The sequence below is a fragment of the Homo sapiens genome, chromosome 11 (assembly GCF_000001405.40).
Source record: "Homo sapiens chromosome 11, GRCh38.p14 Primary Assembly".
NCBI lineage: Eukaryota > Metazoa > Chordata > Mammalia > Primates > Hominidae > Homo > Homo sapiens.
The window spans coordinates 74,599,032-74,622,347 of record NC_000011.10 but is presented as its reverse complement, the minus strand read 5'-3'; the positions used below and the strand labels follow the sequence as shown (position 1 = coordinate 74,622,347).

General features: G+C 40.3%; 1 protein-coding gene across 7 annotated transcripts in view; it reads right to left on the bottom strand.

The window, feature by feature from the left end:
• POLD3 (DNA polymerase delta 3, accessory subunit) overlaps positions 1-23,316 on the bottom strand; it is a 76,760-nt gene that overhangs the window by 46,994 nt on the left and 6,450 nt on the right. For 6 of the 7 annotated variants that reach the window (NR_046410.2, XM_005273716.1, XM_011544734.4 and 3 more), the window contains exons 3-7: positions 17,554-17,656; positions 10,810-10,849; positions 9,338-9,470; positions 3,544-3,811; positions 2,259-2,331 (exon numbers count right to left, since the gene is read on the bottom strand). Coding sequence is in view for 5 of the 7 variants with exons in the window: in XM_005273716.1 (XP_005273773.1) it covers positions 2,259-2,331; positions 3,544-3,811; positions 9,338-9,470; positions 10,810-10,849; positions 17,554-17,656 (617 nt within the window). In the remaining 2 variants the exon portion in view is untranslated. The remainder of the gene's footprint in view (positions 1-2,258; positions 2,332-3,543; positions 3,812-9,337; positions 9,471-10,809; positions 10,850-17,553; positions 17,657-23,316) is intronic. The other variant, NR_046409.2, reaches the window with a different exon arrangement.

The following is a 23,316-nucleotide window of genomic DNA, read 5'->3' as shown; positions in this document are numbered from 1 at the left end:
GTCTTACATGCACACGTATGTTTATTGTGGCACTATTCACAATAGCAAAGACTTGGAACCAAGCCAAATGTCCAACAATGATAGACTGGATTAAGAAAATGTGGCACATATACACCATGGAATACTATGCAGCCATAAAAAATGATGAGTTCATGTCCTTTGTAGGGACACGGATGAAATTGGAAATCATCATTCTCAGTAAACTATCGCAAGAACAAAAAACCAAACACCGCATATTCTCACTCATAGGTGGGAATTGAACAATGAGAACACATGGACACAGGAAGGGGAACATCACACTCTGGGGACTGTTGTGGGGTGGGGGGAGGTGGGAGGGATAGCTTTAGGAGATATACCTAGTGCTAAATGACGAGTTAATGGGTGCAGCACACCAGCATGGCACATGTATACATATGTAACTAACGTGCACATTGTGCACGTGTACCCTAAAACTTAAAGTATAATAATAATAATAAAATAAATAAATAAATAAATAAAAAGAAATGAGGTCTTCTACATTTTTGGCTGGATTTGAATTCATGGGCTCAAGCAAATCTCCTGCCTCGGTCTCCCGAGTAGCTGGGATTACAGGCACGTACCACCATGCCTGGCTTTTTTTCCATATTTATTTGTCCATCTCTCTCAGTAGAATATAAGGACTTGAGGGCAGGGACCTTGTTTGTCTTTTTCCTCTATTGTATCACCACTGCATAACAATGCCATGCACATAGCAGGTGCTCAATCTATTTGCTAACTAAACACATGATTTAAATAAGCATACTTCTGTATGGTTTGATTTTTTTAAAAAAAACCATAACAGCCAGGCAGGTCAGTGACAGCATGATGCTTTAACACAGCAGTCCCCAACCTTTTTGGCACCAGGGACCAGTTTCATGGAAGACAATTTTTCCATAGACAGGGGTGGTGGTGGGCGGCGGTGGGGGGTCGGGGGCGGTGGTTTCAGGATGAAACCGTTCCACCTCAGATCAGGCATTAGATTCTCATAAGGAGCCCGCAATCTAGATCCCTCACATGTGCTGTTCACAATAGGGTTCACAATCCTATAAGAATCTAATGCCACCACTGATCTGACAGGAGGTGGAGTTCAGGCATAATAACGCTTGCTCATTTGCTGCTCACCTCCTGTGCCACCCGGTTCCCAAGAGGCCACGGACTGCTACCCATCAGTGGACTGTGGGTTGGAGACCTGTTTTAACAGAAGTAGGAAGCATTCCCTGTGCACCAACTGTGCCTGCAGTAATACAATAATGCTTCCGAGTAACCTTTAAGTATCACATTTTCCATTCACTTTTCTAGTTACCCATTCTGAGCTGCAAGAACACAAAAACGTTCTCTGATAGCTTTTACAGCAAACACAAAAACTGTCACCCTTACATAAGCAGAATATGAAAAAAAAAAAAAAGTCACTTCAATCCCTCCCGTGACCACCAATTTAGCCATCATGGAAAGGCAGAATTCTAACTAATTTTGCTTGCATAGGCATGTAACAAAATGCCTCCTTGAAAAATCTTTGTAAAACTGATGCTCCAAGAAAGTGTGCCATAATTATCCTGTGGCTCCTGCATTCTTCCTGGTATTCTACCACATACTCTCAGGGGATGTACACTTGATATGAGAAGTATGAAAATATGTGACTACTGGTTCTTTCCATACGAAAGAATTCTTACTTAAGTATCTTTTTAAAAATAAAGAAGATTTTTGCTTTCTCAAAAAAGATTTTTAAATGTCCATTACTACTTGGGCCCTTCTAATTCACACTGGAAGTCTAATTCATTACTGTGAGTAATCTGCAAAAAATAACTGAAGAAAGGCAAAATATTTGCTTTTGTGGACCCTTGAGAGATAGAAGAAATAAAGGTCACACCAGGCAAACTGACTCTAGCATCCACGTTATTAACCTCAACACTATACTGCGTAGCCAGGCAGCCTCCCTTTTATTTTAATCACCCATTTTCAAGGGCCCTATGAAGCAAATAGTTCATTATCTTTTCAAGGCAGGAAGTTAAACCAGGAATAATAAACTGCTCTCAAAGAGATCTCAACTGAGCCTAACTCACCCATAAAGTTCTAGCTGAGTTACTTTCATCAATATATTGGGCAGTACACTGGAAATTTGTTAGAATGCAGGTAGTCTCTTGGATTGGCAAAAACTAGACAAAGTGGCTTTCACTTCAGGTATAATATGTCATTACATTAACATTCATTCGTTAGTCAAAGTGAGGTAAGAACATGCTTACTCATAGCAGCTTTTCCAAAAAAGTTGCTCATCATATTCCCTTTCCCTGGTGCCTTGTTGCCTGCTGCAGATGCCTACAAGCACAGAAAACACATATGATTTTTTGCTGGCATTTAGGCTGTTCATGAAGTAGCAGTCTCAAACAAACTCTTCTATAGCAAACTGTTGCGATGGTATAGTCTCTATATAATCATGCCAAAACGCGTAGGTGTTAGATATAAGAACAAATCTAGAACAATAATCCACACCAGACAGTAACTGGTGTTAATCTCTAAAGCTTAGTTTCTTATATATCTTATAAAATTAATTATCCATGGATATAGCTAAACTTTTCTTGAGCACATTTAAAAACTATTTAATTTGACAGAATTAAAAAAGATCAGAGGCAGTATGTACACAAAGCGGGAAAACCTAAAACATTACATTTTTAATCATCAGAAGTAGATCTGAATTCCTGGTTCCCACCATTTAGTAGCAATATGGGCTCCAGGCAAATTACTTAAGTCTAGGTTTCAGTTTTACCATATGCGAAAGGGAAATAGTTAATATCTCCCTCACAGAACTGATAAGAGGATTTAAACAAAGACACTGGCACACAGTTGAAATTCAATAAACGTTAGTGTTTTCCTCCATCCTTCTTCTTTCCCAAGACAGACGCTTGAAAATGACAGTGATCTGAATTAAATACACTTGACACTGGAAAATGACAGTGATAATAATAATAGTAACAACAATAATTATGCTTTTCTGGATTTTTAAAATAGTATCTTAATGATACTTTTCTTAAGTCAATGCCCTTGAGTTAGTTCAGATGACTGAACAATAAAAATCTAAGAGAAGCAAATAAGGCAAAAACAAAACAAAAAAACCTGCATAAAGTATAAGAATGGGAAATACACTAGGAAGGAAGGTATATGTTGCAAAGCCCAGAATATAAGATGTTCCTCAGAAAGACATATTGCAAATAAACATTTTTTTGAATGTCAACAATTCTCGAGGTGTTTTCACATGTTTTCATCTGGGTTTCACAACAATCTTGTAATGTGCACAAGGTAGGCATTACCATTTTGCAAAGGAAATCCAAGGTTTGGTGAGAATCATTATCAAAAGCAAAAGAACTCTTTCAGATAACAATATCAAGTATTAAAGGGTTCAAACTAAAGTAGAAAAATCAGAACTGAATATCAGAATCTTATATAAATAAACTACTACCACTGCAACCATTAATGCTTTTCTAGTTACCCACTCTGAGCTGCAATGAAGGGGTATCTTCAAAGAAGACTTACATTTGTTACTTCTTTAGCCTCTGTTTTCGTTTCCTTGTTGGTTTCTTGGGTTTTAGCAGCAGCTTTGGAGGCAAACATTCCCATAATTCCTTTGGGCTGCTGGGAAACCTGCTTGGATGCAGGTGGGCCATGACCATTGGTGGTCAGCTCATTGTTGGCTTGTGTCTCACTTGACATGTGAAGATGTGACTGCTCAAACTTTTTGGAAGACGAAGAGGATTCAGCAGGAGCTCTAGGGACGGCAGCTGCACATTGTATAGCACTAAATCTGGGGACAGAAATGTTACATTAAGTTAATGTCAGCATATGCATTCTTGGGTGGTTCAACAAAAAAAGAAAAAAAAAACTAATGTCAGTATAAAACTTTATTTTCAAACTCTTGCTTCTTCCACACAATACTTAACTCTAATATTGTTTAGAATCGACTTTAGAAAAATGTATGAAACTCTCTATTACATAAAGAAACAAATATTAGAGAGAAGTGAGTCACTTTTACTAGGTTATACATCTAGTTAGTAATAGATAGGATTGGAATTAGGTGCCTTCTACCACTAATTGAATATTCTTGTTTTTGATAAAAGTATTCTAATTCAAAAGAGTAGGAATGCAACCAACAATAATAAAAGATGCAGTAATTTCATTATCCTTGGGAAATGAAATAGCCTTTGTTTTTAAAGACCTTCCTCTGATAGGGCTAGATTTGCAATATTGACTGAATCAAAACTAAGCTTTAAATATTAACAAATTTCCTGGCAACTCTCTTGGCCAGAGTAAATCATGCTGTAGGGTTGGGCGCATTGGCTCACGCTTGTAATCCCAGCGGTTTGGGAACCTGAGGCGGGCGGATCGCTTAAGCCTAGGAATTTAAGATGGGCCTGGGCAACATGGTGAAACCTTGTCTCTACAAAAAATACAAAAATTAGTTGGGTGTAGTGGCGCATGCCTATAGCCCTGATTACTCAGGAGGCTGAGGTAGGAGGATCACCTGAATCCAGGAGGTCAAGGCTGCAGTGAGCCATGAGCTCATCACTCAACTCCAGCCTAGGAACAGAGTGAGATGCTGTCTCAAAATAAATAAATAAATCATGCTTTAAAACAAAGAAGAGGCCAGGTGCAGTGGCTCACGCCTGTAATCCCAGCACTTTGGGAGGCCAAGGCAGGTGGATCATGAGGTCAGGAGTTCAAGACCAGCCTGGCCAACATGGTGAAACCCCGTCTCTACTGAAAATACAAAAATTAGCTGGGCGTGGTGGCACGCGCCTGTAGTCCCAGCTACTCAGGAGGCTGAGGCAAGAGAATTGCTTGAACCCAGGAGGCAGAGGTTGCAGTGAGCCAAGATCACACTACTGCGCTCCAGCCTAGGCGACACAGCAATACTCTGTCTCAAAATGAAAAACAAAAAAAAATGGGAGAAGCTGGAAGCAGAGCCACTGGCTCCTATAACCTATAGTCCTTTACAGCCATTTGTTAATAATTTCTAATAATACTAACAGCACCGGACAAGTAAGTATGCCCAAGGCCAAGAGAAGAAAATTGGTGGAACAGCTTGTGTGGCATATTAAAGGGAACATACATCTCTCTCTAATCATTATAGAAGTGCCGTTTCACACAAATCCATAATGTAACATTCCACATTGTGAATGGGTAATTGATTTAGCCTTCTCAAAGGATTGTACTTAAAGCAAAGTTCCCCAGCTTTTTCTAACAAAGAAAAATATTTTATTTTTCCCAGTCTTGCTTATTGAGCATATGTAAGACCTCCTTGAAGTCTTATTTATCTTTTTTATTTCAGGCACCCAGCTCAAGACCTGGCACATAGAAAAGTGCTGGAAACGACATGTTGAAAGAATGACTAAGTGAATGAAAGTGAGGCTTCTGGCTTCTCTCCCTTCTTTAGTGTATCACCTTCAACTTGGGGTGGGAGATTTCTAAACTATGTGGTGATGGCAATTATCTTAAAAGATCAACCAGGCACAACTTCAAGATTAACTGCTAGAATACCTGGCCTAATGAAAAAAAAAAATCCCTGATACATCATTTCATCTCAGAAGTAACTTTAGACTGGGCAGCCCCAAAGCTAGAGTCAAAAGCTCCAAAAATCTTCCACTGATTTATTATGGTCTTCATCAGAAAACTCTGTATTTACACACATCTTTTATGCATCAGAGTTAAGAACAGACGGAAATCATTTGCTTTCACCCACTGCTCTTCCTCTCTGACCTTGCAGTGCTTCCATATACAAGGAAAAGAGTAATGTTTTATTTCACTGTCAACGTCTGAAGTTGGCCTTGAAACAACTCTTTCTCCTCTGGTCTGAATTCTACACCATAGGGTCAGGACCAGGAATTGGCAATGAGGAAGAGACCGAGTTAGGCTAGGAGTATGTCTGATGACAAGAGATCTCTGCTCAATCCTAAAATTTCAACTCTCTTCATGTCACGGCACTTCTTAAAACACACGAAATCATAAGTGAGATCTCAGTTGGCCCATAATTCTCAGGACTAAATACAAACTCATTTGTTGGAGATAAATTCACTTTTCTACTGAGGATACTTTAAGTATTTAGGTAAAGTTTCACTGAAGTGCTTCCTATTACCACATTTCTACTTGCCATGTTTATTTTAGTGGGCCCTGGCAGATTTCATTTTGAACTTTTGCGTCACTTTTATTCTTGTTTGCTTACTTGCTAGATATAACAAGGGAACTGATTTTTAGAGCCTGGAATACCCAACTAGATTTTAAAATTTTTTGAAATCTAGTAATATATTTCAAATAAACTTATCAGGGTGTTAATATTTTCTTGAAATCCTTCCCTAAAAGATAAGAGACTTGTAAATTATTCCTCTTTGGCCATATATTTATTTAATAAATATTTGTATGCTTATTATACTCAAGGTTTTGAGCTAAAGAAAAAAAAAGAACTAATGTCTATCATTAATTCACTCAGTAACTACTTATTAGTGTGCCAGGCACTATTTTGGGTATATAGTTAACAATTTAGACACGATCCCTATTCTCATGGAACTTATAGAAACTATGGCAATTCTATATCTTTCTCTCCTTGAGGACCCATCTTTATCAGTCATACCACCTCCCCAGGATTTTCAACCTTTTCTTCCTACAGCACCTTTCTAACAACCCAAGTTCAAGTCATTCTCAACTTAAGAAATGTATATATCCTTCCCGTCTCAATCCCTCCTTAGCTACCACCCTCTTTTCTGCTTTGCAGTCTAATCTCCTGGAAAGAGCTGTCCATATTTGCTGTCTCACTTCCTCTGTCCCCATTTACTTAGCTCACCAGAATCTGGTCACTCCACTGAAAATGCTCTTACCAAGGCTATCACTAAATGTCATGGACAATTTTCACTTCCTAACTTACTTGGCTTCTCAGCATTGTTTGACATTGTTGACTGGTTCCTCCTACTTGAACCTCTTTCCTTAGGGGCTGAAACCCCATATACTCTTATCTCTGGTGGCTCCCCTTGGGCCCCTCTTTTTCTATTCTTCCCTTGAAAAGCAGCTATCATTAAATAGTGCTTACTATGTGCCAAGTGCTATTCTAAGTGCTTAACATATAATAGTCCATTTAATCCTCTACAACCCTATCTGGCTGGTACTACTGTCAGCTTTACTGACAAGAACAGGGAGGCACTGAGAGGTTAAATAATTTGCCCAAGGTCAGACAACTAGTACTTTGGCCTAGAGTTTTACTTTCTGCCCTTCTTTCATTCTATACATTCTCTCTGATAACTCTATCTACTGCTATGGCCCATTTACTATTCTGATTTCAAAATCTCTATCTTTACCCCAGATTTCTCTCCTTAGCTCTAGATTCACCTATCTTTTGCGATGGACATCCTCACTTGGATTTCTCACAAGCTTCTCAAACTCAACATCTCTAAAACCCAATTTGTCATTTTTCTATCTCTCCTAAAGCCTGCTCCTCCTGTTATATTCCCCTTCTTAGTACCCAGCTGCCCAAGCCAGAAGCATGGGTATCAACCTTTCAATACCAAGAAAGGCTGTCTTCCACCATCCCCTACCCCCACACACCTTGTCCCCAACCACTACCATACATCGAGGTTTTTTTTTTTTGAGCTGGAGTCTTGCTCTGTCGCCCAGGCTGGAGTGCAGTGGAGCGATCTCTGCTCGCTGCAAGCTCTGCCTTCCGTGTTCACGCCATTCTCCTGCTTCAGCCTCCTGAGCAGCTGGGACTATAGGTGCCTGCCACCGTGCCCAGCTAATTTTTTGTATTTTTAGTAGAGACGGGGTTTCACCGTGTTAGCCAGGATGGTCTCAATCTCCTGACCTCGTGATCCACCTGCCTCGGCCTCCCAAAGTGCTGGGATTACAGGCGTGAGCCACTGTGCCCGGCCAAACTGAGGTTTTTTGATGGTCATGACTCATTAACCTTCATACTTCTCCATCCCCAACAGCACAACTTCACATTAGAAAACTGTCATATCCACCTGGATTACTGCCACATTTCTCCTCCCTGATGGCCTTGCCTCCAGATTATTCTCTTCTGATTTATCTTCAATACTGCAACCAGAGCAATCTTTCTAAAATGCAATTTTGATAATTTCACTCCATCTGCTTAAATATTTTCAGTGGCTCCCCAGCGCTCTCAGAATAGAGTCTAAATTTTTATCCTAGTAGTCAAAGCATAATGTAATTCCTGCTTGGCCTCTTTAGTCTTCTATCTAATTATTTCCTACCTTTCACTCTAAGTTGCACCCATAGAAAACGATCATGGTTCTGCACAAGCATGTTTTCTCTCTTAGCTCTGTCCTTAGTCTCTCATTTTTCCTTTGCCTGGCTATTTCTACTGGGCCTTCAGGCCTCAACTGAGATATCATAACCTTCTGTGTCATAAGTCATAACAGTCTTGTCCCCTCACTCTATCCATCCAAAAGTGGGAGATAAGTGCCCCTGCCAACATCTTCCCCCAATATTCCTCCTATTACAGTACTCTTACACTGTACCATAACTGCCTGTCTCCCATCAGTTACATGAAAAGGTACGCGGGCACATTCACTCTATACTGTATGGTATGTCATAGGTACTCATGAGTTATTTGCTGAATGAATTCAAATGATTTTGCTCAGTACCTGTCAAAGTAGTAGGTGCTCAATGTATGTCTGGGGAACTGATCTGAATTATCAATACAACCCCACAAAGGAGACATTATTACATTGAATTTAAAGGCAAAGAAACCAAAGCTCAAAGAGTTTAAGTAATTTGTCCAATGCCACTGGGCTACTAAGCAGCAAAGCCACAAATCAAGCCTGTGACCACCAATTTCCAAAATGTACACGCATTATAGTCCGTTACCTCCTTGTGCTGTTAAGGATACAAAAGATTTAAAAAAAAACCTGATCCTGGCTATGGAAGCTCAAGAAAAAGTTGCTTTTGGATGAAAAGTAGAGGGATATCAAATTAGGAACTGTTTTTTTAAGGACAACGTTTGAACTGGTTCTTGAAGGATGGGTAGGATTTAGACAAGCAGAGACTGGGTAAGGGAGTTAGAGAGGGCACGACAAACATTTCTGGTGGCAGTGACAGGATAAATACATGAGAAATAGATTTATGGAGAGTCCACTGGGGTTTTCAATATGGGTTGTGGCTGCTATTTTTCACCTTATGATGTACTAATAAAACCAGGCATGTTTCTTACTGCAAGATAAATGGGGTTTTACTAGACTTGGCATTCACTCTTAAGAGGCAGCCACTGTGTAAACATCTTACAAAATCAATTCGTAAAGAAGCCCACAAGGAACATTAAGACGCTTACTTGCTGCAGTTCTGCAAGTTGCTTTTAAGGATGTCATAGTCAGTATTGAACAGAGGCCCACTGTCCTTTAGCATGGCTTTCTGGATGCTGTACACATGGATGCTGGCAGTCACAGCTAGCTTGGACTTCACTGCTACAAGTCAACAGGAAAAGCAGTCAGTTAATACACAAACTTCATAGCATGTGGGGACTTTAACAAGAAACCCTTCTGCATTAAAGCATTTGTAATCTGTGGTGGTCCAAAAAACTCTAAAGGCCACACAGCCACATATACAGTGAAACATCAACTCTTCTGTCTGCAATGGGGACATTATGACAAGGTAGGTGGTGGTGAGTCATTTCTAAGGACAGCACCTGAGAGGGTATCACTCATCCAGTGGACACTTAGTAAATATTAATGATTGATGATGACTACGATGATCTTTTTCTTTTGGTCAGAAAAGAGCCTTACACTATAGCATATAATTAAAGAGTACTAAGTAATTTCTATCTGAGAATATTCATTTATATATTTCAATTTTAGTTTAGAGAAAGCAACTCTGTAATAAAAACACTACTAACTAGATAAGTCTACGGAAGAGAAACACAAAAGAACACCACAAGAATAAATGTTAGGTTCCGCGAAGGAAGGGATTGCAGCTAACTTGTTCCATGTCCCCAGTGCCTAGTATAGAGCTTGGCACATAGTAGATCATCATTACATATCTACAGAATAAAGAAATTTTGCTTTGCTTAACACTGTGGGAATTCAGAAAGTAAAAAGTGGACAAACCCACCACTCTGAATACTTCAGAGTTAAATTTGGTAAAATACCCCCACCCTACCCCCATGGACAGGAACTCTTTCTTTTTAAAATACACATATTTTTTGTGTCCCTGGCGTGGCTGCCCTCCACCCTCCTCAGTCCCAATCTGTGAAATGGGGCCTGCAGGCCAAGGAGCCTTTATATACAAAGTACAACAGTACAGGTTTTATCTTGAGATATAGGTCCAAGATCATGAGGACCCTGACTGTTATTAAATTCCTTTGAATTGGGTTTTTAAACAATCCAACGGTAGCACTGATAGTCTTGAAACAGTTAGACAAATTTAATTTAGAAGTTATTTAGAAGTCTTTCTGACTTCCAGAAAAGCATTCTTTAACTTGTTTCCTAAAAAAACTGCCACTGTCTTTTCACAGTTGATGAGGTAGCTCATATGGTATTCATAACAGTTTCTGCATGTGTCACGAGTTTTGAAATTCTGTGATAAAAGTGCTTTATAAATGTCAGCAACTATTGGCCCTAAAAATGGGAAGTCAGGCAGATGTAGTATCATATTTTAACATGCTTTAAAAACTACTCATAAAATGAATATTGGGCTATTCAGTTAAATAGCTAAATATATTATACGCAGATGTTAGAGGCAGATTTTTTATTGCACCTACACTGATGCCATAAGAGGAAAAACTTGCTAAGTCACTAAAACACTTACCTTCCAATTTATCTTCTCTCACTACTGCAACCTTGTGGCACTGTAAGAAAATAACACTTTATTAGTGCTTAATGTAAGAATCTGCAATTTTAGTTTCCTTGCTCCAATAATTCAATTGTGCTTGGATGTGAAATTAGGAAAACACCAGGCACTCCTTAAAACATATGTTATAATTTAATAAAGTCAGACTCACTTTTAATTTGCTTACTTTCAGGAAAAAAAATAATAATTTGCTTATCTTAAAACTTCTCAATAAGGTTAAGGAAAGTGATCTAGCACAGATTTCAGTACTACAATTAAAAAAATACAGCATCTCAAATCAGTGTGAGCAAAGGCTTTTTAGTGAGTGATTTAATAAGAATTACTGTATAATCACATGGAACCAGATAAAAATTGGATCTGTTCCTCACATCATATACCAAAATAAATTCTAAATGGATTAGAGATTTAAATGTAAAAAATAAGGCCGGGTGTGGTGGGTCACGCCTGTAATCCCAACACTTTGGGAGGCCGAAGTGGGTGGATCACCTGAGGTCAGGAGTTTGAGACCACCCTGGCCAACATGGTGAGACCCTGTCTCTACTAAAAACACAAAAATTAGCTGGGCATGGTGGCAGGCACCTGTAATCCCAGCTACTCAGGGGGGTGAGGTAGGACAATCACTTGAACCTGGGAGGCGGAGGTTGCAATGAGCTGAGATTGTGCCACTGCACTCCAGCCTGGGTGACAGAGTGAGACTTGGTCTCAAAAAAAAGAGAAGAACACATATATGCACATGAAAACATGTGTGAATTCTATAACCTGCTATAAGCTAAGAAAGAGGGAACATTTCCTAAGTATAATTCAAAATCCAGAAATAACTGAAATAATCTATTTTAAAAAAGCAACTTTTAAATGAAAAAAAAACGTAAGTACAAAAACAAATGATAAAGCGGAAAAAAACTGCAACTTACATCACAAAGGGTTAATACACAACTTCTAAAATTAAAGAAAACAAAGACTAACAACTCTTTAGAAAATGGGCAAGAAAGGCCAGATGTGGCTGCTCATGCCTGTAATCCCAGTACTTTGGGAGGCCGAGGCAGGCAGATCACGAGGTCAAGAGATGGAGACCTCCCTCGTCAACATGGTGAAAACCTGACTCTACTAAAAATACAAACATTAGCTGGGCATGGTGGTGCATGCCTGTAGTCCCAGCTACTCGGGAGGCTGAGGCAGGAGAGTCACTTGAACCTGGGAGGCAGAGGTTGCAGTGAGCTGAGATCGTGCCACTGCACTCCAGCCTGGTGACAGAGTAAGACTTCGTCTCAAAAAAGGAAAAAAAAAAAAAAGGGCAAGTGGTAGGAACAGACAGTTCACAGAAAAAGAAATATAAATAGCCCTAAAACATATTATAACATAATGCTATATGGAAACAGGCACTCTCATACATTGTTGGTGGGAACAAGAAGCAGAGTGATATTTGGCAACATCCAACAAAAGTACACATGCACTCACCCTTTGACCGAGCAATCCTACTCTAGGAATGTAACCCTAAAACACACTAGCAAAAATATACAAAACACACAGACACTAAGCTATTCACTACAGCACTATTAATATTTGTAATAGCCAAAGATCATAAATAACAACTACCAATAAGGGATTGCTGAATAAGCTAAGGTATATCTATCAATGTGGCACTATGTGGCTGTAATAATTAATGAGGAATATTTCTATAACTGCTGTGGAGTGATGCTCTGAATCTGTTATGTAAAAAAAAGCAGAGTGTAAAATAGTTTGCACGTATGAAAACATTTATCTAACAAAGAGAGGCAAAATGAATATATATTTTCTTATATTAAAAATATATACAACAGGCCAGGCGCAGTGGCTCACGCCTGTAATCTCAGCACTTTGGGAGGCCGAGGCAGATGGATCACGAGGTCAGGAGTTCAAGATCAGCCTGGCCGAGATGGCAAAGCCCCGTCTCTACTAAAATACAAAAAAAATTAGCAGGGCGTGGCGGTGGACGCCTGTAATCCTAGCTACTCGGGAGGCTGAGGTGGAGAACTGCTTAAACCTGGGAGGCAGAGGATGCAGTGAGCTGAGATCACGCCACTGCACTCCAATGCTTGGCCAACAGGCAAAAGTCCATCTCAAAAAAAAAAAAAAAAAAAAAAAAAATATATATATATATATATATATATATATCAAAAACAATGGAAGGAGAAGGCAAACTCAATGTAACAGTTACCTCTAAGGGAAAGGAGGGAACCTATCAATTGAAAGCAAAATGGAAAAAAAAAATTGAATTGAACTAGATATTGAATTGGTGGCTTCAGTACAGTGAGGAATTATTTCAAGTGATTCTAAAATACAGGATGACTGTGCATCCTTAGCAGGACATATCCTACAGACAAAGAACTGCAAAGAAATCTTATTTTCAGTAATCAAATTGTTGGTAATAATACAGGTTTTGCTTTTCTAAACCTCGTGTATTTGTCTAAAGCAAATAGATATTTTTGTTAATGTTCGGAACCACCAAAATTCACAACATAAAAAAAACAGCAATCTAAACATCAAATAAGTTTTTTAAAAAGTGTAACCATAAGTTTGAGCTGGGATTATTAATGTTCTCATAATGCATTTTCTCTTAAAACTGGCACTCCTAAAAATGTCATTTTCATTGGTTTATTCAAGGGAAGAAAAAAGTCATGTTCCGTAAAACTGCACACTAAAAATTACAGAGCTTATTATAAAAATTACAGACCATTAGGAATGAACCACTCAAAACCAATGCAGCTTTGCAGTAAGAGCCCTAAAAACAGTAATTCGCACCTCATGAGAAGATCTGAATAGACCAGACAGGTCCGTGTGGCTATATACTGCCCTGGGGGATACTGAAAGTACATAAAAACAACAGAATGGAAATGCCAGCTGGTGCTAAAACAATGCAGACCAGAGTGGAGCTCTGATTCAATGGGTTCCTATTAAAGTGGACACGGGAGTTAGGGAGCATCCACAAACCCAGAGCCTAGGAGGGGGTAAGCCCTCTGTTCTTAGCATAACAGGGAAAACACGGCTAGTTGATGAGAGAAAATTATTCACAGAAAAATTACAGCTAAAAAAACAGAAAGGCCAGGTGCCGTGGTTCATGCCTGTAATCCCAGCACTTAGGGAGGCCGAAGCAGGAGGATCACTTGAGCCCAGAAGTTTAAGACCAGTCTGGACAACATAGTGAGACCTCGTCTCTAATAAAAATAAAAATAAAAAATAAGCTGGGCATGGTGGTGCATGTCTGCAGTCCCAGCTACTGAGGAAGCTGAGGCAAGGGGATCGCTTGGACCCAGGAGTTCAAGGCAAAACATCACCATTTTGTAACCTTTAGTGAATTAATGATTTAGGCAATGATTAAAACTAATCTCAGCTAAAATCATTAGATGAAAAGCTAACAGGGAACCCATAAAGCATAGATCAGGTTGACAGTTCTTCACATTACAAAAAGAACCAACCAAACATTTCCTTGAAATTTTCAAATAATCCTCTGGAAGAATCTCTGGGATGAGATTTGAAGGAAGCTTTCACGTTCTATATATTGTTAAACATTTTTTATAATAATCATTGGAAAAATAAAAATTATTTACATTTAAAAAAATCCAGGCCAGGCACAGTGGCTCACTTCTGTAATCCTAGCACTTTGAAAGGCCGAGAAGGGCAGATCACTTAAGTTCAAGATCACTTGAACTTAGAAGTTCAAGACCAGCCTGGGCAACAGGACAAAACCCCATCCCTACAAAAAGTACAAAAATTAGCTGGGCGTGGTGGCAAGCACCTGTAATCCCAGCTACTTGGGGGGTTGAGGCAGGAAGATGGCTTAAACCCAAGAGATTGAGGCTACAGTAAGCCGAGATTCTGCCACTGCACTATAGCCTGGATGACAAAGTGAGACCCTGTCTCAAAAAATAAATAAATAAATAAAAAATAAAAATAAGTCCAGGCGCGGTGGCTCACGCCTGTAATCCTAGCACTTTGGGAGGCCGCGGTGGGTGGATCACAAGGTCAGGAGATCGAGACCATCCTGGCTAATATGGTGAAACCCGTCTCTACTAAAAATACAAAAAAAAAAATTAGCCGGGCGTGGTGGCGGGCGCCTGTAGTCCCAGCTACTCAGGAGGCTGAGGCAGGAGAATGACGTGAACCCAGGAGGCAGAGCTTGCAGTGAGCTGAGTTCACGCCACTGCACTCCAGCCTGGGCGACAGAGCAAGACTCGGTCTCAAAAAATAAATAAATAAATAAATAAATAAATAAATATATAATAATAATAATAAATTCCATACAAAGCTGCGTAATGTCTTTTTTCTTTCTAGAAGCACTAAAAACTTAAAAAGGAAATTATTAATAGAAGAATTAAAAGAACAAAACCTGATCATATTGCTTAATAATCTGCCTTTCCTTAGGAGGATTCCCTTTAAGGGAAAAAAGGCATAGGTAAGCATCCACATTTGGTCAGTTCGTTCTACAGGGTTCCACAGAGCTTCCCAGTGAGGCTATTGGGAGGGCAGGTCCAGGGCTCTGAAATCCTCACAACCACTTCAACCACAGCAACCCCACTCTTAATAAATTTTATATATAGAACTCTGATTAAGATTTTGTTTGAAAAAGCACTCTGCTGCTAAAAAAAGATAGGCAGAATTTAAATGCCATCTTATACTTAGAAACAGAAGACCTTTTTATAAGCAAGCCATGGCTTAGTTTTTAACTGATTATAGGTTATACATCATTTTGAAAAATGGTCTCGGAAATATGCACTGAGGAACACAATTTGAACACTTTCAGTGTCATCTAAGAAAACTCTAGACTTTGAAGACCAACCATGAAGACCATCTAAGAATCCTAAATTAAGAGCCCCTGTTATAATGGGTCAGTTTGAGTAAAAATCTACATTATCTCAAAACGTAAATTCTTAACTTTGGATCCTATTCCAGAAGATCCATGAACTCAAAATTTTATGAATGTCAACATATGCATTTTTCTTTCAGATTCTCAAGGGGATCAATGACCAAAAAAAGAATAAAAAGCACTGCTTTAAAGAAACATAATGATTTCCAAGTAAAGGCTTGAATATGACTAGATTGAGGGTACTGACTAATTAGAGAAAGAGACAGAAGGTCAGTTGACCCTGGAAACAGAAGAAAATATGACAATCAGCCATAAACTTTGACAGTATCCATTCAAGAGCTCTACAGTGGCAGAACTCTGGAGGCAGGTTTATCTCTGCAAGTAAATGAGTTACGTCTGTTTAACTTTGCTTCAGAGATATAAATGACATCTTATTTTACACTTGCAAATATCTTGGTTATCATTTGGCTTGCCAAATAGCTTGGAAACAAGAAAAGAATATGTTGGCTAGAGAGTATAAGGATAGGATCCCTCTAGCAGTTTTGTTGCTCCTTGTAAATTACTAAATTGACGTTCCAGTTTTATTTTATATCACCCAAGCTGGAGTGCAGTGGCGCAATCACAGCTCGCTGCAGCCTTGACCTTATGGCCTCAAGTAATCCTTCCCACTTCAGCCTCCTGAGTAGCTGGGACTACAGGCGCATGCCACCATGCCTGGCTAATTTTTGTATTTTTTGTAGAGATGGGGTTTCGCTAGGTTGCCCAGGTTGGTCTCGAACTCCTGGGCTCAAGTGATTCTCCCAACCCAGCTTCCCAAAGGGCTGGGATCACAGCAGCAAGGCACTGTACCCAGCCTGGCATTTCAGTTTTAAATCTCACATGCTGGGGACTCAATCGCTAAAAAACAAATCCAGTCAATATTTTGACAAATCAGGGCTCTGAACTTATGATTCTGAGGGAAAATCAAAGGAAAGAGGAAAACAGCGGATCTCTGAGAAGCGGCCACCTGACCTTTGGGCCAAGTCCCATGGGGCTTTTTATGCCCGAAAGAACCTTCAGATAGGAAGTTTGAGGAAGTGAGAACAGAAGAGGTATGCCTTACTTTTGGGAGGACGCCAGAGAGGGGGAATTATTAAAGTTCCCAAGGCCCAGTTTGGTGCAGGAGAGGGAACAAGATATCTTAGCAGAGCTTCTGGTAGCCACCAAGGCATGGGAGTAATAGAATGATCCCTGTGCCCCTGAGAGGGACATGAAAATAGTTAAGAGAAAAGTCAAGCAGACCTGAGAAAGCCTTACAGTCAGGATGATGAAATCCAGCAGTCACCTGTGTTGCCAGATGACCAGATACCAGGTGGGACTACAAAAAGAAGAGGAAGGAGAATAAAATGTTCCCAGCCTATGCACTGCATTAGCTATGCTCCTGCCAAAAACTCTTACCCTTCAGGCACTTAGACGTAAGCCTACCCAAATGAATGTTCAAAATTAAAAGAAGTTCAGTTAAAAAAATTATAATTTTTGAACACTTGTATTCATGGTTTGAAATTTGAACAGGTGGAAAATTAAACACCATTGTTCTCCATATACCTTCAAGAGGAAAAAAAGAGATATAGGGAATAACAGAAGCAGTCTCCTAACATCTTATTGCATAATAATGATACAGTCTCTGCATCACAGCCAAGATATTACCCAAACTTCTCAGTTTTAGATTTAATCTAAAAATCCAAAATAATCATCACCATCAAGTAGCTCTTTAAAACTACTATAACACAGAATCTTGATTTTTTTCTCTCCCCTGAACTATGTTATAACACTCTTCATAACACAAACACATTTAAGCTCATTACAAGGCTCTGAGAACTTACGGAATGTCCATTCTGAATGAGACTGCCAGACACCAAGTAGGTAACATGCAGTTGGGCTCCTGAATTTTCTTTTCGTTTCCTTTCAACATAATCATACAGCATCCTATTCCAAAGAAAAGAAGGCACAAGTAAGACATCAGTAAGAGTTTTTACATGATCAACTCTTAATTAATGACTTAAAAGATAAATGAAATCTGGTAGTCCATCAAATTTTCTGAACAGTAGCATTTTTGCTTGGCCTATGGACAGTTGAAAAAAAAAAAGGATGGACTTCAGACAGGACATGGGGAGTAGAGTCCATGTGTTTGGAGCTGGCACAGTGATCAGTACATTAACTGAAATAAGATTAATAATAGACCAAGAGGGACTGAACCTGCATTAAAACAGTGGCAATGATACATAATAAATAGAACACTGAATCAAGAAGTAGTTTGGTAACTGTCTAAGCTCTGGATAAGTTAATTAATTTGTCTAGGCCTCTTAATATCCCAAGGCGTAAACAGGAGGGTTATATTAGATTAGTGATTCTTTTAACCTGGGATTCAGGTGGCCATCTATAACCCTCCAATCCTAAAGTTTCAGCAAATGTTTATGTGCTTTTTTGGGAGATGTGTGAGGGTTTTCAATGGATTCTGAAGAGTGAATTACTCCAAAACATTAAGAACTACTAAGTATATGATCACAAATGTCCAGCTCTGAAATTCCAATTTTATGATTACTCAGATTTAATGCCGGTTCAGAATTGCAGAATGTAACAGCTTACTCACATTGCCCAGTATTCAGAATAATTCATTAACCTGAGATAGCCAAATACTAAATGCAGAAATAATGTTGCTTTTAGTAAAATCTCTAAATTCATTTTTACTCTATGATCCAGCAAGTATCAGAAGTTGGCTCCCTTCAATAATCTAGTTTAAAAACAACAAAGAGACATGTCTTTTATTTTGAGAAACATTTACAATCTGTCTATAATATACTTCTGCCAAGCATAGCTAGAAATTTAAAAATCCCCAGAGAAGCTCAACCTACATTGCTGTTCACTCTCTTCTTGAAGAGCCTGCTCTCTCAGCTTCCATAAAACCATGCCCCACTGAGTCTTCTGCTACCCCTCTCACTGCTTCTGCTTTACTTTCTGAAGAGACTTCTCTACCTCCTCCCTTTCCTTAACTGTTGGTATTCTGTCTTTAGCTATTTTTTCACTCTATGTATTAGAGTGACTGACCATTCCTGTCTGCCTGGGTCTGAGGGGTTTCTTGGGATGTGGAACTTTCAGTGACAAAACCAACCATCCTGGGCAAACCCAGGGTGGCTAGTCACCCTACTACATATTTTCCTCGGTTTATTTCATCCATCTCTGACAACAACATCATCTGCTGAAACCACGCAAGCCAGAAATCTGGGAGTCATTATACTTCACTTCTTCCTATCCAATGAGTTGCCAAGTCTCATCAGCTCTCCTTCCCAAGTAATTCTTGACTCCATGCCCTCCAAATCTCTTGACTAGACTATTTCAATTCCAAGTATCAATTCCTCTTCTCCTCCCCACCTCACCTTCATTATCCATGATGCTGCCAGAGTGAAGTTTAAAAAATGCAAATCAAGTCATTCAATCAACAAAACTTTACCAAGTGGTTACTTTATGTTCTACGCCTTAGGGACAGAACAGTGAATAAAGCAAAGTCCACTCTTAGAGCTTACATTCTAGAAAGGAGACACACAATAAACATATAATATATAATCTCAGATGACAGTAAGTCTATGGAAACAAAGTTAAGTAAGTTAAGGAGGACAGAGGGTGCCTGAGAAGTTTTGCTATTTTATATAAGGTGATTAGGGAAGGCCTCATTAGCAGAGCCCTGCAGGGAGGGAGGGAGCCAGCAAGGTGGATATCTTGGGAAACAATGTTCTAGGCAGAGAGTCCAGCAAATACCAAGGTTCTGAGGCAGGAAGGTCAGCAAGATCCAAGGAACAGAAAGGCCAGTGTGCTGTAGTGGAATAAGGACGGTAGTAGGGGAGAGAGGGCAGAGTGCCAGGCACATAGGGCTTTGTGGCTACCACAGGACTTTAAGAAGCCATTAGAAAGTTGAGAGCAGAGGTAATGTGATCTCACCTTTCAGAAGGATCTGAGAAGGTTATGTGGATGATATACTGTAGAGGGGCAAGGGAGGAAGCAAGACCAGTTAGGCTATTGCAATAACCCAGCCTAGAGATGACTGGTAGCTCAGTTTGGGGCAGTAGCAGTGCAGGTAGTAATTAGTGGATGAATTCTGGGTATATTTTAAAGTGAGAAACAACAGGATTTGCTGATATACTGTGTTGAAGTGTAAGAGAAAGAAGAGTCAAAAATGACTGGACTAGGCAACCCAAAGAAGGAAGCTGTAATTCACTGAGATGGGGGAAAAGCAGGAAAAGCAGGTGTTGAGGGGAGAAGTCAGGAGTTAGGTTTGGGGGCATATTAAATTTGCAATGCCTATTAGTCACTGTTGATGTTGAAAAGGTTGCTAGAGAGTCTTGTCTGAAACATAATTCCTTGTTATAAAGCTTTCAGTAGCGCCAGGTGTGGTGGCTCACGCCTGTAATCCCAGCTCTCAGGGAGGCAGAAGCAGGAGGATAGCTTGAGCACAGGAGTTCAAGACCTGACTGGGCAATATAGCGAGACCCCATGTTCCACAAAAAGGGAGGAGAAAAAAAAAAGTGTAACAAAGCTTTCAGTAGCTTCTCATCCCCTAAGGATCAACTTCAAATCTCTAGCAATGACAGGTAAGACCCTTCTTGTTCTGGGCTCTGTATCTCTGACCATTCCCCATCATACCTACACTATCTTCATCCTTAATGAAACATTCTACAATTCTCTTTATTCCTTTGTATATGCCCTTCCTTCTGCCTAGAAGGCTCTTCTCAGGCCTCAACTACCTAATTTCTCATCAAGACAGCAGCTCAGTTGTCACCTCCTCTATGAAGTATGAACCCTTCCCCAACACCATCAGGTCACCAGGGCACATCTTTTTTTTAAGAGATAGAGTCTCACTCTGTCGCCCAGGCTGAAGTGCAGTGGCGCAGCTCTCTATAACCTTGAATTCCTGGGCTCAAGCCATCCTCCTTCCTCAGCCTCCTAAGTAAACAGGACCACAGGTGCATGCTACCATGCCTGGTTATTATTTTTTCTTCCTGGTAGAAACAGGCTTTTGTTATATCTCCCAGCCTGACCTCGAACCCCTGCGCTCAAGTGATCCTCCTGCCTTGGCCTCTCAAAATGCTAGGATTACAGGAGTGAGCCATCATGCCTAGACAATGAGCTTCTGCCATCCAAGCTCTAACAAATTTTATCCCATATCTATTATTACAGCACATATCACCCTGCCTTCTAACTATTTATTTTACATATGACGCATCCCCTCTAGACTGTTAACACCTTGAGTACAAAAAGGTGCCCTAGTCAGGATTTTTGCTGATTCCTCCTCTTTGCCCTCTAATGTTTCTTTCCATTACAACAATTGTGTTAGAAGGATAAATGAGCTAACAGATCCACAAACATTTTGGTTTATTGATGCTAGTTTGGACCATGCTAAAGGAAGACATGATAGGCAGGTACCATGCCCAAAATGCTTGCAAGCTTGCTGGCCAAATGCACTATCTTTTATCCACAACTAATAGTCCTGCCCATATCATCAGTCATTGTCCTCTATGCACTTGTCTCCCCAAATTGACCCCAGTTCTTCTCTCTTATATTAACAGAAAATGCAAAGCAAACTCTTATTTTAAAAAACAATTCTTGTGGCTGGGTGCGGTGGCTCACACCTGTAATCCCAGCACTTTGGGAGGCCAAGGCAGGCAGATCACCTGAGGTTGAGAGTTTGAGACCAGCCTAACCAACATAGAGAAACCTCGTCTCTATTAAAAATACAAAATTAGCCGGGCACATGGTGGCGCATGCCCGTAATCCCAGTTACTCGGGAGGCTGAAGCAGGAGAATCGCTTGAACCTGGGAGACAGAGGTTGCAGTGAGCTGGGATCGTGCCATCACACTCCAGCCTGGACAACAAGAGCAAAATCCTATCTCAAAAAAAAAAAAAAAAAAAAAAAAGGAAAGAATTCCTGCCTACTTTTTGAGTCTTTAAAACATGTTTTATCTAATTTAAGCCAAACTTTTCTGTTTTTTTGGAGATAGAGTATCGCTCTGTCGCCAGGCTGGAGTGCAGTGGCGCGATCTCAGCTCACTGCCATGTCTGCCTCCTAGGTTCAAGTGATTTTCCTGCCTCAGCCTCCCAAGTAGCTGGGACTACAGGCACACGCTGGCTAATTTTTTGTATTTTAGTATTTTTGTATTTCAGTAGCGCCAGGTGTGGTGGCTCACGCCTGTAATCCCAGCTCTCAGGGAGGCAGAAGCAGGAGGATAGCTTGAGCCTGGTCTCAAACTCCTGAGCTCAGGCAATCTGCCCTCCTCGGCCTCCCAAAGTGCTAGGATTACAGGCATTAGTCACCGCGCCCAGCCTAAGCCAAATATTTTTTAATAAACAAAATATAAAATATTCTTAAATAAGAATGACAACAGGCTGGGCACAGTGGCTCATGCCTGTAATCCCAGCATGTTAGGAGGCCGAGGCAGGCGGATCACGAGGTCAGGAGTTCAAGACCAGCTGGCCAGCATGGTGAAACCCCATCTCTACTAAACATACAAGAAGTTAGCCAGGCGTGGTGGCATGTGCCTGTAGTCCCAGCTACTCGGGAGGCTGAGGCAGGAGAATTGCTTGAATTCTAAAGGCGGAGGTTGCAGTGAGCCGAGATTGCACCATTGTACTCCAGCCTGGGCAACAGAGCTGTCTCAAAAAAAAAAAAAATAATAATAATAACAACATATATGACTTCTTACAAGATACACTTCCTACACATGATTAATTATAGCTTCCCATTTTAATTCATTAATCTTCCCTCCTGATCAGTTCCACCCATAATGTTCCCCAGGATGAGTACAGTGTATTGCCCATACCGCTTTCTCTAACCCAACTTAATTATTTCACAGCATTTTCACAGTCTGAAATTATCTTGTTTAAATCAACCAGGGGAGGGACCCTGTCTGTCAGGTTTACTGTTGTATGACATAGCCTGAAATAATGCTAAAAAAAAACAGTATGAGGCCAGGCACGGTGGCTCAAGCCTGTACTCCCAGCACTTTGGGAGGCCGAGGTGGGCAGATTGCGAGGTCAGGGGTTCAAGACCAGCCTGGCCAAGATCGTGAAACCCTGTCTCTACTAAAAATACAAAAATTAGCCAGGCGTGGTGGCAGGTGCTGTAATCCCCACTATTCAGGAGGCTGAAGCAGGAGAATCGTTTGAACCTGGAAGGTGGAGGTTGCAGTGAGCTGAGTTCCGCCACTGCACTCCGGCCTAGGCAACAGAGCGAGACTCCGTCAAAAAAAAAAAAAAAAATTACTTGAGAGAAATGTTTGTGAAAATACTATAGTGAGGCCGAGCATGGTGGCTCATGCCTATAATCTCAGCACTTTGGGAGGCTGAGGCAGGAGGACTGCTTGAGTCCAGACGTTCAAGACCAGCCTGGTCAACACAGCAAGATCCCAACTCTACGAAATAAAAAAATCAGCTAGCATGGTGGCATGTACCTGTGGTCCCAGCTACTCTCAGGAGACTGAGGTGGGAGTATCCCTTAAGCCTAGGAGGTCATGGCTAAAGGAAGCCATGTTTGAACTACTGCACTCCAGCCTGGGTGATACAGTGAGACTCTATCTCAAAACAAACATAAACCATA